Raw genomic sequence first — 15,711 nt, forward strand, 5'->3', positions numbered from 1 at the left:
AGTCTTACAATCCAAGACTATTTTTTTAAGGTGCTTGGAGTCGTTTACTTGAAATGTAAACATCAAGGAAGATAGTATCATTCACTCTCCATTCTCATGGGAGTTTAACTTAGGCATCTGCTCCAAATTGTAACTAAAGTTGACTCTTGAACAACAAACTTCCAATATGGGTTTACTGATATGGGGATTTTCTTCTACTTCTGCCACCCCTGAGATAACAAGACCAACCCTCCTCTTCCTTCTCTTCCTCAGCATACTCAGCATGAAGTTGATGAGATGAATACCTTTATAATGAACTACTTCTATTTTATGAATAGTAAATATATTTGCTCTTCCTTGTGATTTTCTTAACATTTTCTTTTCTCTAGCTTATTTTACTGTGAGAATATGGTATATAATACATATAACATGCAAAATATGTGTTAATTGACTGTGTACATCATCAGTAAGGCTTCTGGTTAATAATAGGCTATCAGTAGTTAAATTATGGGGGGAGTCAAAAGTTATATACAGATATTTGACTGTGTAGGGATTCAGTGCCCCACAACCTCTGCATTGTTCAAGAGCTGACAATACCTACCTTCATAGAAATCTGAGAAGTTTTATGGATCTTTTGGATAAAGGAAATTTGCAAAGATAAGTGGCCACACCAATTGTAGGTGAGTATAAGATGAACTATTTGTAACAAATAGTGCTGTCAAGACCCTTACTTGAGGTCCAATTGTTGTTTATCTTGATGACATGTAAGCAATGCTTTTTACCTGCTTGCTTAAAACAGTGAGATTTCTCTTTAGTAGCAGGCAGTAAGTTGCCTAGGATGTGTAAGAAAAGAAAAATACTTCAGAGCAATCTGAGCTATGTGAGGTATGCAGGCCCAGAGAGACATGAGCATAGGACATCAGTCATGCCCCTCCGACCTGTGCTTGGAGGCAATTGTTTCAAGTCATTTTATTTCTGACTAGCTACCTCACCCATTATCTTCATGTTCCTGGAATTTGTCATACAAATAACAATGTAAGCCAATCAAAAGCTTATGTTATTTTAATGCAAATTCTTCATAAACAACTCAGGAACTGCCTTCTCTTTTCCTTTATAAATCCACTTTTAACCGCTGGTCACTGGAGTGTATGTTTAGGGCAACTTGAATTAGTCTATGCTCCTGGGTTGCAGTCCTCAAGCATGGTCCAAATAAACTCTCCATGTACATTAATTTTGCCTCAGCTTCTTCCTTTTAGGTCAATATATGCATTACATTCTGACTTCATGTTTATTCAATAATAAAACTGTTTTCTTTCTCTTCCATTATGAAGAGGTTTTCTGGGTTTACAGGAGATTTTCTATTAAACTGTTACACTAGATTTCCCCAACAATTCTCAGTCAGTGTTTAGCAGGTATTAAATGGCAGTTCAACAAATTCCAACCGTGTTCCTCAAGAGTTAGTTTAGCATCTGAAAAATGGGCTATAATACCTGATTTTCTTTCAGAGTGGCCAAGGATTGGTGGAGTTATTTGGCCATTTGACCATGATGTGTGGCCTCAATGTGTGTAGAAAGTAATGATTTGGGGGGTATGAGATAGTGCAGTGCTTGTTTCAGAGGTGAGCTTGCCTGTGGCTGTTGGCTATAAGCAACTTTTTTCTTCTCCAGTTAAAGATACATGTTTTAGTGTTAGAGAAGATTAAAGAATAATAGTCTGAGCTTGCTTCCTGAGAAGTCATTCATTCCCCAGTTTAAAGGATTTTATTGGAGTCAGCCAAACTCTGAGTTGTTGTACCAAAAAAATTTCCAAAATATTTTTTTAACCCTCCTAGTAAAAGAAGAGAAGACAAGAGCTGTTGTGCTGAAAATGGAAGGAATACTTGGTGGAAAGTACACACATAAATACTGAATATAATTTTAGGATCTGCCAGCCTTTATCTATACTTAGTCAAAAGTGAGAGAGATAAGTCTTGAACAGCTGCAAGACAGAAAACCATGTTTTACATGATAGTAGTATATGCAAGGTAGGGAGCTTTCAGAACTGGGAGAAAAGCATGCAACTAAGGAAGAAAAAACATTTTAGGATTCGGTGACTAGAGGAGTGACATTCCAGTATGGAGCCCAGGCTTAGGTGGAGATACGGGGATAAGCATAACGTGAAATAAGACCTGCAGTCATTCCCACTCTCATTCATCTTACAGTGATCTCAGCTTATTTTCTGTGAAGACTGAAAGTTCCAGCACCTGAAGACAAACCCTTTTTCTAAGCTTTAATAGGCAAGGCTACACAAAATTACAGCATAAAATTCTATGTATTGTAGGGAGAGTAAGGGAGTGATCCGTTTTTTACTAATCATAAGGGTCATGGCCAACACCCATATAACAAAAGACAGGTTAACAAGGGAAAGCATAACAAATGTATTTTTTTCTAGTTTTACTGGACACAGGAGCCTTCAAGACAAAGACCCAAACATAGAGGGAAAGCTGTCCATTTTTATGCTTAGGTTCAATGAAGAATGGATAAGTGTGTAGAACTGTGATAGGACAAAGAGGGTATGGTCTAATGCTGATAGACCAAGTGGGGAAACTCAGCAAGGCCTGTTCAGATTTTCCTTAGTTTGGGTGTGTAGCATTACTTCCTCATGGGTGTGGGGCAAGACCCCTTCTGAAGTGAGTCTTATGATGACTTACAATCAAACCAGGTAGATCAGAGAGAATTTCTTTATGGACACTTCTTGCACAGAAAGGTGGGGAAAGTTAGAATACAATTTTTAGGTTTTATGGCTGGATGCCGGGGAAAGGGGCGCTGGTTTCTATGACCCACTGTGGCGAAGATGGATTCTAGCTCCTTTGACTTGCTTTGGGGGAGGATGAGGAGTGAGAGACAGGATGGCAGGAAGAGGCAGAGAGAAACATTGTTAGGAGGCTGCTTCTGAGACCTTGACTATGGGGGTATCAGTTTCTGAGCCCCAATAGTACACATCCTTGTAAGTTCTAAGAACTAGAGAAAGAGCCTAATATTTACTATACTTTTCAGTAATGGTTTCTTCAAAGCTGAGAAAGTAACATCAATGGATTTCAAATGGCTTGTGTGTTAAAAAGAATTCTGGCATCAGCATAAATTACTGTTTAGAGAATTCTGCTCCATTGTGCGTGTCTCACGTTGTTGTCAGCTGTCTCCTTCTGAGCATATCCCAGCCTTTCCACAAATATCTTAACCTGGCTTTAAGAGAATAAACTGCAGCAATGCTCTAATACCAAAAAACCCTTAGGGCCAAACATGAAAATAAGTGAATGTGGAACTTCCTTATCTCTTCATCTTGTCAGTTTTATCAGGCTGACAGGCAATATTCACTATAGGCCCATTATATCTCATCTACATCTGAAAGTGTACCACAGTGTTCTGAATAGAAATTAAGGTCATTCTGTCAGAGAACCAATTGAATTGCAATGCACATCATTTTTATCTTAGTATAATAAGCTTTTTCCCCATAGTACTTCACAATGTGTTTAGCTTCATTCTTTACTTACAAGCAGCAGGAAATTAGAATTGAATATAAGTTTATTTTTCAGACAGAGAAAATGAAAGTGTGGATTGCATTTTCTCAGGGTTCAATGTGGGAGAACTTCCTGTTTCTATTCAGTGTAAATAATCTAGATTATTAAACCAGCTATAAATCTATTAAATTAACTGATGAGAGAGAGAGAGAAAAAAAAACTAGGAAAGCAGTTAAATGTCCAGCAAACAGCAGAAACATCTGTAAATGATTTAGACCTATGATAGAATTTTGTTAAAACATACTCAGGAATTTAACAGTGACATATATTATAATGGGGCAAAATTGTGCAAGTGAGTAACAAGGACGTAGACACCAAGAAAAGTAGACATGAACAGGTGTTGGCGAAGTAAGACCTGTGAGCCAAATCTATATTACTACTTGTTTTTGTGAATAAAAGTTTATTGGAACTTACTCACCATCATTCTTTACATGTTGTACATGGCTATGTTCATGCTACAACAGCAGACTTGAATACTTGCAGCAAAGATCTTACTTAGGACCCACAAAGACTGAAATACTTACTAGCTGAACCTTAATAAAAAAAGTTTGACAACTTCTGCTGCAGAGGATATTTTAATACATCTAGATCAAAAAATAAATAATAGCTAATTTTAAAATGAATTTTAGCTTAATTAAATATTCATGCCCACCTATTGAGAATATCTTGAGCAATGAACAAGACTTTCATAGGTACTAAACACATGTTCTGATATGATACTAAGTTATACTAAAATTTAATTATGTGGATAGGAAAATACAGCATGCTAAAGCCATTTTAAAATGGAAGTTGTATGATATTATTTAGAACAAGTCAATAAATAGTTGATATTATAATTATAAAAGTGACATATGAACATATTAAAATATCCAAACAACAAAGAAAGTAACAAAATTAAAAATAAACTCTGCCCTCTTTACACTGAGGTCCACTCCCTAAAATAGCTACTGTTAATTTCTGTTTGTATTTATGTTGCTAGACATTATTATAATACTAAATATATTTATTTCTAAATTTCTTTACTGTTAATGTAAGTAGTTTCTTTTTTTCCCTTAAAGGGTTCTTTGATTGACTTACTCTTTCTTTTATATCCTTCCCACTGTCTCTTCGACAGTATTTTAGTTGTATCACTTTTACATATTCTAGTTATGTGTAATATTTTAAAACAGATTTTAGGCCATGATTCAATGTAGTACTTTGGTATTTTCTAGCAAACATTATTTAGCCTGTATTTTGTTTTTAGTTGGTGTTGTAGCCCATTCGTGCTGCTGTGATAAGACATCTTAGACTGGATTACTTATAAACAGCAAAAATTTCTCACAGTTCTAGAGGTTGGGAAGTCTAAGCGCAAAGCCCTAGCAGGTTTGATGTCTGATGGGGCCTGGTCCTTGCTTCTAAGGTGGTGACTTGTTGCTGTGTCCTCACATGGTGAAAGAGATGGAAGGGCAAAAGGGCCTCGCTAGTTCTCTCAAGCCCCCTTTTTCAGGGCACTAATCCTATTTATGAAGGCTCTGCTCTCATGATCTAATCATGTCCTAAAGGCCCCATCTCTTAATGCTGTTACATTGGGGTTTAAGTTCCTGCATATGAATTTGGGAGGGACACATACATTCAAACCACGGCAGTTGATGATAAAATTGAGAATCAGTAAATAAAGTGAAAATTGTAAGTATGTAAATATTTTTAGTTAAGAAGGATCTTTCCAGTATCAGGATTTCGCTGTCAATACCAACTCAAATTTATACTTAATTGTTTTGATTCTAGGTTCTTAATCTTGGGCTCCTTTTCCATGAAAAAAAAAATGTCTTCTGAGTAATTTAGATGTTATACAAATCCAAATGTATTTTAACTTTTATTTTGCTTTCAAACGTTATAGAAAGATTTCTCAGGCAAAAAAAATCTTATTTCAGTATAATTTTCTTTCAGAACTTGCATTCAGTTCTGCCAAATAGAAGTCCAATGTTAATCTGAATTTTGTTCTCTTGTAGGAAATTTTGTTTTTCTCATTAAAAATGTTCAGTCTTCTCTTAATGATTGGAATTGAAATTTTATAACATTTAATTTGAGAGTGGCTTTCTGGTCATTTGTGCTGCTTGGTGTATATGTGCTCTTTCAATTCAATCTTTTTTCCAGCTTTGAGAACTTCTCTTAAATCCTCCCTCAGTTTGCTGGAACTACCCTTAGGCAGATGTTGGACTCAGTGAATCAGTGTTGGACTTTATGACTCAATGTTGAACTTCATAAATATTAGCTTTTCTCTTATATTTTTACATTTATGCTCTGTGTTCTGTTAGAAATCTTTGATATTCTTGTATTGCCAACAGTTTCTTATATGTAACCATTTAATTATTTTATTTCAGTTATTATATTAATTTCTTACATTGTTTTGTTTTCTGATTGCTATTTTTCTTAGTAATCTGCACTGATTTTGTGGATGCATTATCCACTTAAATATCTCTGACATGAGTATTGAATGAATTAAAGTTCATTTATCTTTCTTATCTCTGGGAGTTCTGATTGTTTATATTAGTCCTTTCCAGTTTTTCTTTCTTTTTTTTAAATAATCAGGTAACTATATTGATTAATTGAGGTAGTTGGTACTGTTACATCTATAAAAATTAGTATTGATTTCTCTTGAGTTAGATCTAATCCTTTACTTAAATGGCCTACTTCAGATTTGCATAAGTGAACAGAGAATGTTAACTGGTTGGATTCCCTTTCAGGCATTTGGATAGGATGCCTATAGGTAGATCTCCCTCCCGCAAACCCTGGCAAACACACACGTACACTGCTGCCAAAGTAAACACATTCTTTAATTTGCTTTTACTTTTGCTTGTTGTCTTAGTTCAAATCATGTTTCTACTATTCACTAGCTGTGTGACCAAAGCATTATTTACTTTGACCACAGAGATATTTAATTTTCTACTCTTGGGTAGAGCTATCTTTTCTTTTATTCCTTCATTCTATTCATTTCTGCCTTTTGCCCAAATAGGAACTCTTCAAAGTCAGATTTCTTACTCCCTAGAAAGCAATTATCTGTATCCTGGAGTGGGCAGTTGAAAGAGGAAATGGTCTGATGGACTCAATTTTTCTATGCTCAGTTCTTCAATTATTTATCTTCCTATTTGTTCAGTAATATGCAATTTCTCTTGAACATGTTGACTATGACCTTGAAACATCTTCTAGGGTTTACTGAAAAGAAATTATATCAGACTGTGGTTGCTTCTGTTATTACACTCCACTAATCCAAATCTTTATTTAAGTTTTGGATTTGCTATTGTCAGGCTTCCCTTTTTTCAATACTATTATGGTTTTGTTATATATGTATCAAAACATACATACTCTTATGTGTATGGGTGTGTATGTGTATGTGCATATCTATATATTTCTGCCATTCCCATGAGACCTCAGGAAAGAGGAGATACAGAATACTCTTGATTGTCATTTTAAAAATAAAGCTTTTCAAATTGATTTAAATTAATCTCAAAGAACCAGGCACAAGATACATCAAATAATTGTACATCTCTTTCTCCATATTTTATAAGTGAATATAGCCAGATCGAGAAGAAATATTTCTACCTCAAGACAACTTAAAAATTCTGGAGCTGTGTTGTCTTAGTTCAAATCATGTTTCTGCTATTCACTAGCTGTGTGACAAAACCCAGGTGCAAAGTGTATCAATATACCTTTAAAATAAGGAAAATTATAGTGCCAGTCTTAAAGAGTTGCTGTGAGGGTTAAAGGAGTTGGTATACTAGTGCATAGTATGAAGTAAGTGAATAAAATGGTTTGCTATTATTACTAGTGTTATTATTACTCTAAGACATATGTCATTCTTATAAGTTATACATTTTATAGTATCATAAATATGTAAGTTTATCAAGAAAGAAAGATTGTGTCAATAAATAGAGACCATTTCTTATGTCTGTAGCCTTTACTGTCTATGCTGCACTGTATAATGTGGCAACCAATAGCCACATATGCCTACTTAAATTTATGATTTCATTAATTAAGATGGAAAACTCAGCTTTCAGTCAGACTAGCCATATTTCAAGCAATCTATAGCAACACTAAATGAAAAAGCAGAGCTATAGAACATTTCCAACATTTCAGAAAGTTCTACTGGATAGCACTGGTCTACAATCTTCACTGATCTAGTCAAATAAATATATGATATTAGTGTATGAGAACAAGTGCAAACTGAATATAATTTTTTATTTTTTAAAATATTTGTTGTCACGTCATAATATAGCCTAAAACTGAAGTAGCATATACTTAAGTATTATCTAGGCCTACACATATTTTCTCTACTCATTAGTTCAATTTAAACTATGATTGTCAGAAAGAATTAGTTGTCATTTCATTTTCAAATAAGCCACATGATTATAAAGACAGTAAAAATTTAGTTGGATCTGTTACTTAAAAAATGTTATAAAATTAATATCACAATAATCATTTAATAAGTAAAGGAAAAAATTATCTATTGGTATAAAATGAAACCTTTTTGAAGGAAAATAATTTATTGAATGACTATTGGATATAGTAATTCTTAATAGATACTCTGAAAAGGGTTATTACCTGAAATCATATCGTATGGATTGTATAGGCTACACTCTGGTTAAAATAATAGACTTTGAATATGAAATTTGAATAATTTAGTAATCCTGAAGCAAAAGACTCACTTAAATAATTTGGGTGAAGAGTCAATACATTTGGGAGAGTTAGAACTTTCCAAAGGAAATGATAATTGATGATTTCAATTAAAGCAGAGTGGTTGTATCAGGAACCAGATTCAAGTAGAAAGGTGAAAAAGTTTAAGGTTTGCTTTGAAATCAAACAAAAATATTGCTTGGTATAAACACATAGTTGCAAAAAATAAGTCCCATAATTTTCATATTCTTCCAGTACTTTCTATTTTCCACATGTTAAATATTAACAATTATTTATTGTAACAGCTAAAAGGCAGTTACCTTGTTAATAAAATGATGATGTATACCAGAATTAGTCTCTTGTGACAGAAGTTTAAGAAAATTTTTTCTAGCTAATTATTTATAAATAAAAATTTATCTAATAATAGTTAATTGTTAATACCATTATTTATACCATTTTTTGCTTGTGTCAACAATTTTTATTTGGAAAGTTATTAAACAGGAAAATGGAAATAATAGTATAATGAAGTCTTATATGCACTACCTATGTTCAACAATTGCCATATTTTGTGATTTTTTAAAAGAAATTTACAGATATTTCTTTACTATCTTGCTTATATTGAAATTTCTATGATTGTCCATAAATATTGTTTTGGAGATTTTGTTTTTCTTACAAGATCACTGCAGTTGGTTATTATTTCTCTCTCTCTCTGTCTCTCTCTCTCTTTTAATCTAGAAGAGTCTTCATGCTCTTTTTATGTCATTGATATTTTTGGAGGCACCGGGCCAATGTCCTCATAAAGTATCTTACATGAGCATTTTCTCATGGTGCTGACTAACCTGTTGCTCCATTTCCTGCATTCTCAAGATACTATAATTTTTATTCCCAGGCAAGTGGAAATAGATCTGACAGAGTCAGCTTGCCTATCTTGGTTTTGCGTTACCTCTTTGTTTAGGTTTTTGAGAGTCTTTCATTCTTCAGCCCAGGTACCCATGATGTTTTTGAATATGTAAACCAGCATTTCTGGTTGGTAGCAAGGATATGAGGCAGAGGGCTGGATTGTCACTTCATTCTGACCCAAAATTTTTTTCATAAAATGTCTTCTTAATCTCTGTTCTCAATTAAAATTTGTATTTTCTTTAAGGATATAATTCTTCCTGGAACTTGAATGGGAACCTCGTTGTGAATAAAAAGAGTTAGAGGTCAGTATTCTCTTTCTTCTCCACTGCACATCTCTTTCATCATTCTTCCATTGTCATTAGATCCATACTCCCATTTAGACTCAAGTGTTCAGCTATAGTTTTCTTTCCTTCTCCTAGTCAGTAGGATACCCCTGACCTCTAAATCACTTCCTCACAATACACTTGACTTGAGCACCCTATCTCCATGGAAATGACCAGAATAACTCTACTGGGAAACTATGACAAATGCCACATTTCCACCTACAACCTCCATCATTTTCTTTACTCTTACTTCAAGTTGACTTAATCAAGATTTTAAATTACGTAATTCTTACCTATTCTCTCTCATCAAACTACCCCCATTTTTACTTCTTTCTCTTTAAGCTTTATTCACATGGACATCAAAATTTATTTCTTTTGTTGCCTTTTCATTTTATTTCATCAGTTCTCTAAATCTAGCATTAGAAAGCAATACTACAATCCACAACATCTATTCATATTTTAGGTTGCACAACACAATGTAGACAATTATAGACTCACAGATGGACACCACTATATATTTACCATAAAACTAGATTAAAATCACCAGGAAATTCAAATTGTCTTGGGTATAAATACAGAAAGAAACCACAAATAAACAAAACACAATCAACCAAAAAAAAAAAAAAACAATAAAAAAGAAAGAAAGGGGGACTTCTCCACCCATGGAGCATATAGTTGAATATGGTCTATTTGACCAGGTGCCTCAATTCTAAGACTATACCTATACTTGTTCAATTTTAGCAGATAACTGCTTTTGATTTCATGGAGATAAAAAGTTTTGTATGGACTTGAAATTTCCCTCTCCAGCTTGCAATTTTATCTGTTGCCTTCAGAGTGTTCTGTTCTCTCAGGGACTTCAATCTATTCTTTGTTCCTTATTTTTGATATCCTCAAAAAATTGCCTTCACTTACTCCTCTTACATAACCTATAAACTCATACTTTTAAAGTTTGTTTTCCTCTTAGTTACTTCAGGGATATTTATTAGACACCAATCCTAAGCCATTCACCATTACAAAGACCAGGCCCAGTAATGTACAAAGCTGAACTTTCTACTACTATAGGACATATTCAAGTAAAAACACATACAAACACACAAACGTGCACACACTACACCAAGAAAATATGACAGTCTTGTCATTTACCATTTCTTCCTCTATCCACAGTTCTCTCTGACAGGTTGCCAGAAAGTCTGAAATTGCATTACTAAATTGTTAAGTAATAATTATTATTCATTTCTGTAAACATAGAAATAGCTTTGGGAAGACAGTAAAACACCAATAAATGTATCGGCTATTAACAGTTTAGTGTAATGCATTTTTATCAAAACTTTTAATTAATAATACAATTTTGGAGAAATTTGTGCAGGTTGTTTCATTAGAGATACATTCTGATGGTCATTCTTGACTGGGAGATCACCCAGCTGCAACAGCTTGCTCAGCCTGGGGCTGGTTAGTCTGCAAGTGCTACAAATAAGTATTAGAAATGGTGAGCAAGAGAGATATGGGAACCACAAGGATGTTGGTGATAGAATTCTTTTATTTTACAGATTTACCCAGAACAAGCTTTACCCTGAGTGGCTTTTATACTGTCTGTATCAGTATTATCTTCTGAGGCCCCAGATAATATTCAGATTTCGAGATCCAGCATTAGGCCTCTGGAACTAGAATCATTAAGTGGGAACTTGGAAATCTGTATTTTTAACCAGCTCCCCAGGGCTTCTTACGTACTCTGAGTTCTGAGAGCCAATGCATGATTAACATGATGAATTAAGAAAACATTTGGATTTAGTAACTGTTCATAAGAATTTTGTCTGCCACTCACATTCCTAATATTTATTTCACCATTTTTCAGGTAATTAGTTTCAGTTCTGTCACAGTGATCAACATTACCTAGTAATTTATATCATTGCTTGGATGTTTAAAAAATAAATTACATATGTGTGGTTACAGTTCATTTCACCAATCATAAATTTGTTTTGCCATATTATTACCAACTAGAATTTTGTTTAAATGGTAATGCCTACCTATCATTTATAATGGCAATAATTCTAATTTTAAAAGACTGAGTGATAATGTCATAATGAAAATTAAGCAATTGTATCACGAAATAATATCCCGAAAAAGGCAAATAATTCCTAATGGTTGTGTTCTCAAATTAAAAAAATTAGAATGCTTGTATTATTTAAGCTATGTTTAAAAATTCAGATTTTAGAAATTCACATAGAGCCATCAAAATTCATTTAAAAGCAAAGTAATAAAATTTTATTTTCTACTGATAGCTTGAGAAAAAATAACTAAATTCAATAAAAATATCTGCTATACAATCAGTTTCTATGTGAAAGTTTATAGACATAAAATAATGGGAAAGATGGTAGTTTTGAAAATTATACTGAAAAGCACACAAAGGAAGAAAGAAAAAAAATTACCAAATAGTTTTCAATGTTGGCCATTTTTAATGATTTGCTTAAAAGCATATAGCTTATGGGAGAATGTTTTCATAAACATTGAATAAGAAAATATTCTTTTTTATTATATAAAATTTTATTTTAAATTTAAAATTTTTCCAACTTTATTGAGTTTAATTGACAAAATTATATTTAAGGTGTATATGATTTCTGATATACATACATATTGTTTAAATGATTACCACAGTCAAGTTAGTTAACACATCCATCTCCTCACATACTTTTTTTATGAGACCACCAACTCTGTTTTTAGTAAAGTTCAATTGTACAATACAGTATTATTATTATTATTATCATTATTATTTTGAGACAGAGTCTCGTTCTGTCGCCCAAGCTGGAGTGCGGTGGCGCGATCTCGGCTCATTGCAAGCTCCGCCTCCCGGGTTCACGTCATTCTCCTGCCTCAGCCTCCCAAGTAGTTGGACAACACAGTATTGTTAACTATGGTCACCATGTGTAAATTTCATTTCAAGAACCTATTATCTTGTAACTGAAAGTTTATACCGTTTGACTAGTATCTCCCCATTTCTCTCACTCTCCAACCTCTGGAAACTGCCCTTCTACTGTGCTTCTGAGTTTGACCTTTTTTGATTCCACATGTAAGTGAGATCATACTGTATTTGTTTTTTTCTGTCTGACTTATATCTCTTAGCATAATGCCCTCAAGCTTCACTCATGTCACAAATGGCAGGATTTTCTCCTTTTAATAGCTAAATAACATTCTATATAATCCATATAACAGGAAATATATTTCCAAGGCACATAACCAGTAAAGGGCTTAGAATACACAAAGTTATAAATCAAAGTAAAAACAAATAATCCAATAGAAGTGAGCAAAAGAATTCAAAAGATACTTTATGAATATTAGATATTAATAGTTAATAAATATATGAAGATGTATTCAACCTCCTTAGTCATCATGAAAATGCCACAGTGAAACATCATTACACACACAAATGAATGGCAAAAACCTGGACATAATGAATAGATATATTAAAAATTAAAACAGGGAATGGTGAATATTAACAAAATGTGAAGCAATGGGAAATCTCATACACTAGTGGTAATACTATAAATGAGCAAAATCCTACAAAGTTGCAATGATGTAAACTGATTCTACCTGTTTGGAAAATTGTATTTTCTAAAACTACGCATATCTTAGTACTAAAACATTTCATCCCTAAATATACATAGCTACAAAAGTGTATACACATATCACGTAACACATATACAAGAATGTTTGTGGCAGCTTGATTTGTAATAGCTGCACATTGGAACCCATTCACGTTTTCATCAATTGTAAAATAAATTGTGATATATTCATAGAATAAGTATACTGTAGCTATGAGGAAAATAACAATGAATGAATCTCAAAAATACCATGTTTGCAAAAGATGCAAACACAAGATACAAAAGCATGGTATATATACACAACACAGTATGCTTCTTTTTTTTTTTTTTAAGGAAATGCTGTTATTTAAAACAAACAACATGGATGAACCTGGAGGACATTATAATAAGGCAAATAAACCAAGCACAAAAAGACAAATACCACATGATCTCACCTATAAGTGGAACCTAAAATAGTTGAACTCATAGAAGCAGAGAGAAGAATGGTGGTTACTAGGGGCTTGCTGGGTGGGGGCGGTGGGTGTTGAGGGATTGTGGAGATGTTTGTTAAAAGAGATAACATTTCAATTAGATAGAAGGAATAAGCTAAATTAACTTATTCTACAAGGTAATTAATACAGTTAATAACAATGCGTTATATTCTAGAAAACCACCAGATTTTAAGTGTTTTCACTGTACAAAATAAGTAAATGAAGTAATAAATATTTAATTAGCTTGAGTTAGCCATTCCACAATGTGTACATATTTCAAAATAGCATGTGTATGTGATAAATATATATGATTTTGGTCAAATTTTTTAAAACATGAAAACATAAAATAGTATATATTGTGTGATTCCACTTGTATGAAGTTCAAAGCCAGACAAAATTAATATTTTTTATTTTAAAATGTTTAAATTTTATTTTTAATTGACAATAATTTTATATAATTATAGGGTATAATGTGATGTTTTGATCTATGTTCACAATGTGGAATGATTAAATCAGGTTATTTAACAAATCTATCACCTCACATACTTATCATATTTTTGTGTTGAAAACATTTAAAGTATATTCTTTTAGCAATTTTGAAATTATAATCCATTATTATTTATTATAGTCACCACTCTATTCAATAGATTACTAAAGCTTATTCCTCCTGTCTAACTCAAACCTCTTACCGTTTGATCAGCATCTCCTCTTTCTCCATCCAACTCCCTCACCTCTTGTAATCATCATTTTATTCTCTTCTATGGGTTCAATTTTTTTAGATTCCACCTATAAGTGAGACCAACAGTATTTCTCTTTCTGTGCCTGGTTTATTTCACTTAGCATAATGCTTAGGAGTCCTCCAGGTTTTTTCACATTGTCACAAAAGACAGTATATCATCCTTTTGTAAGGTTAAAAAGTATTCTATTGTGTATATATATATCACATTTATTATTAAACCATTCTTCCGATGAAGAACATCTAGGATGCTTTCATATCTTAGTGGTTGTGAATAATGTTGGAATGAATATGGGAATGCAGATATTTCTTTGGTATACTGATTTCAATTACTTTGGATATATACCCAGAAGTGGGATTACTGGATCATGTGGTTATTCCATTTTTAGTTTTCTGGTAACCTTCACATTATTTTCCATAATGGCTGTATTAATTTACATTCCCACCAATAGTGCACAAGGGTTCTCTTTCCTCCATATGCTCTCGAACTCTTATCTTTTGCCTTTTTGATAATAGCCATTGTAACATGTGTCAGGTTATATTTTAATGTGGTTTTAATTTGCATTTCCCTGATAATTTGTGATGTTGAGCATTTTTTAAAATATATTTGTTGGCCATTTGTATGTATTCTTTTGAAAAAAGTCTATTTTATAGTCCTTTGGGTATACACCCAGTAATGGGATGGCTGGGTCAAATGGTATTTCTAGTTCTAGATCCCTGAGGAATTGCCACACTGACTTCCACAATGGTTGAACTAGTTTACGGTCCCACCAACAGTGTAAAAGTGTTCCTATTTCTCCACATCCTCTCCAGCACCTGTTGTTTCCTGACTTTTTAATGATTGTCATTCTAACTGGTGTGAGATGGTATCTCATTGTGGTTTTGATTTGCATTTCTCTGATGGCCAGTGATGATGAACATTTTTTCATGTGTTTTTTCGCTGCATAAGTATCTTCTTTTGAGAAGTGTCTGTTCATATACTTTGCCCACTTTTTGATGGGGTTATTTGTTTTTTTCTTGTAAATTTGTTTGAGTTCATTGTAGATTCTGGATATTAGCCCTTTGTCAGATGAGTAGATTGCGAAAATTTTCTCCCATTTTTTGCGTTGCCTGTTCACTCTGATGGTAGTTTCTTTTGCTGTGCAGAAGCTCTTTAGTTTAATTAGATCCCATTTGTCCATTTCGGCTTTTGTTGCCATTGCTTTTGGTGTTTTAGACATGAAGTCCTTGCCCATGCCTATGTCCTGAATGGTAATGCCTAGGTTTTCTTCTAGGGTTTTTATGGTTTTAGGTCTAACATTTAAGTCTTTAATCCATCTTGAATTAATTTTTGTGTAAGGTGTAAGGAAGGGATCCAGTTTCAGCTTTCTACATATGGCTAGCCAGTTTTCCCAGCACCATTTATTAAACAGGGAATCCTTTCCCCATTGCTTGTTTTTCTCAGGTTTGTCAAAGATCAGATAGTTGTAGATATACAGCGTTATTTCGGAGGGCTCTGTTC

At 33.3% G+C, this 15,711-nt stretch overlaps 1 long non-coding RNA gene across 3 annotated transcripts in view; it reads left to right on the forward strand.

Moving 5' to 3' along the window:
• The window catches only part of LOC105370462 (uncharacterized), a 72,153-nt gene that overhangs the window by 43,830 nt on the left and 12,612 nt on the right, over positions 1–15,711 (forward strand). For all 3 annotated transcript variants that reach the window (XR_007064129.1, XR_943784.3, XR_943785.3), the window contains exon 2: positions 9,330–9,387. This is a non-coding gene — a long non-coding RNA (uncharacterized LOC105370462). The remainder of the gene's footprint in view (positions 1–9,329; positions 9,388–15,711) is intronic.

Source organism: Homo sapiens, chromosome 14 (genome assembly GCF_000001405.40).
Source record: "Homo sapiens chromosome 14, GRCh38.p14 Primary Assembly".
Taxonomy (NCBI): domain Eukaryota; kingdom Metazoa; phylum Chordata; class Mammalia; order Primates; family Hominidae; genus Homo; species Homo sapiens.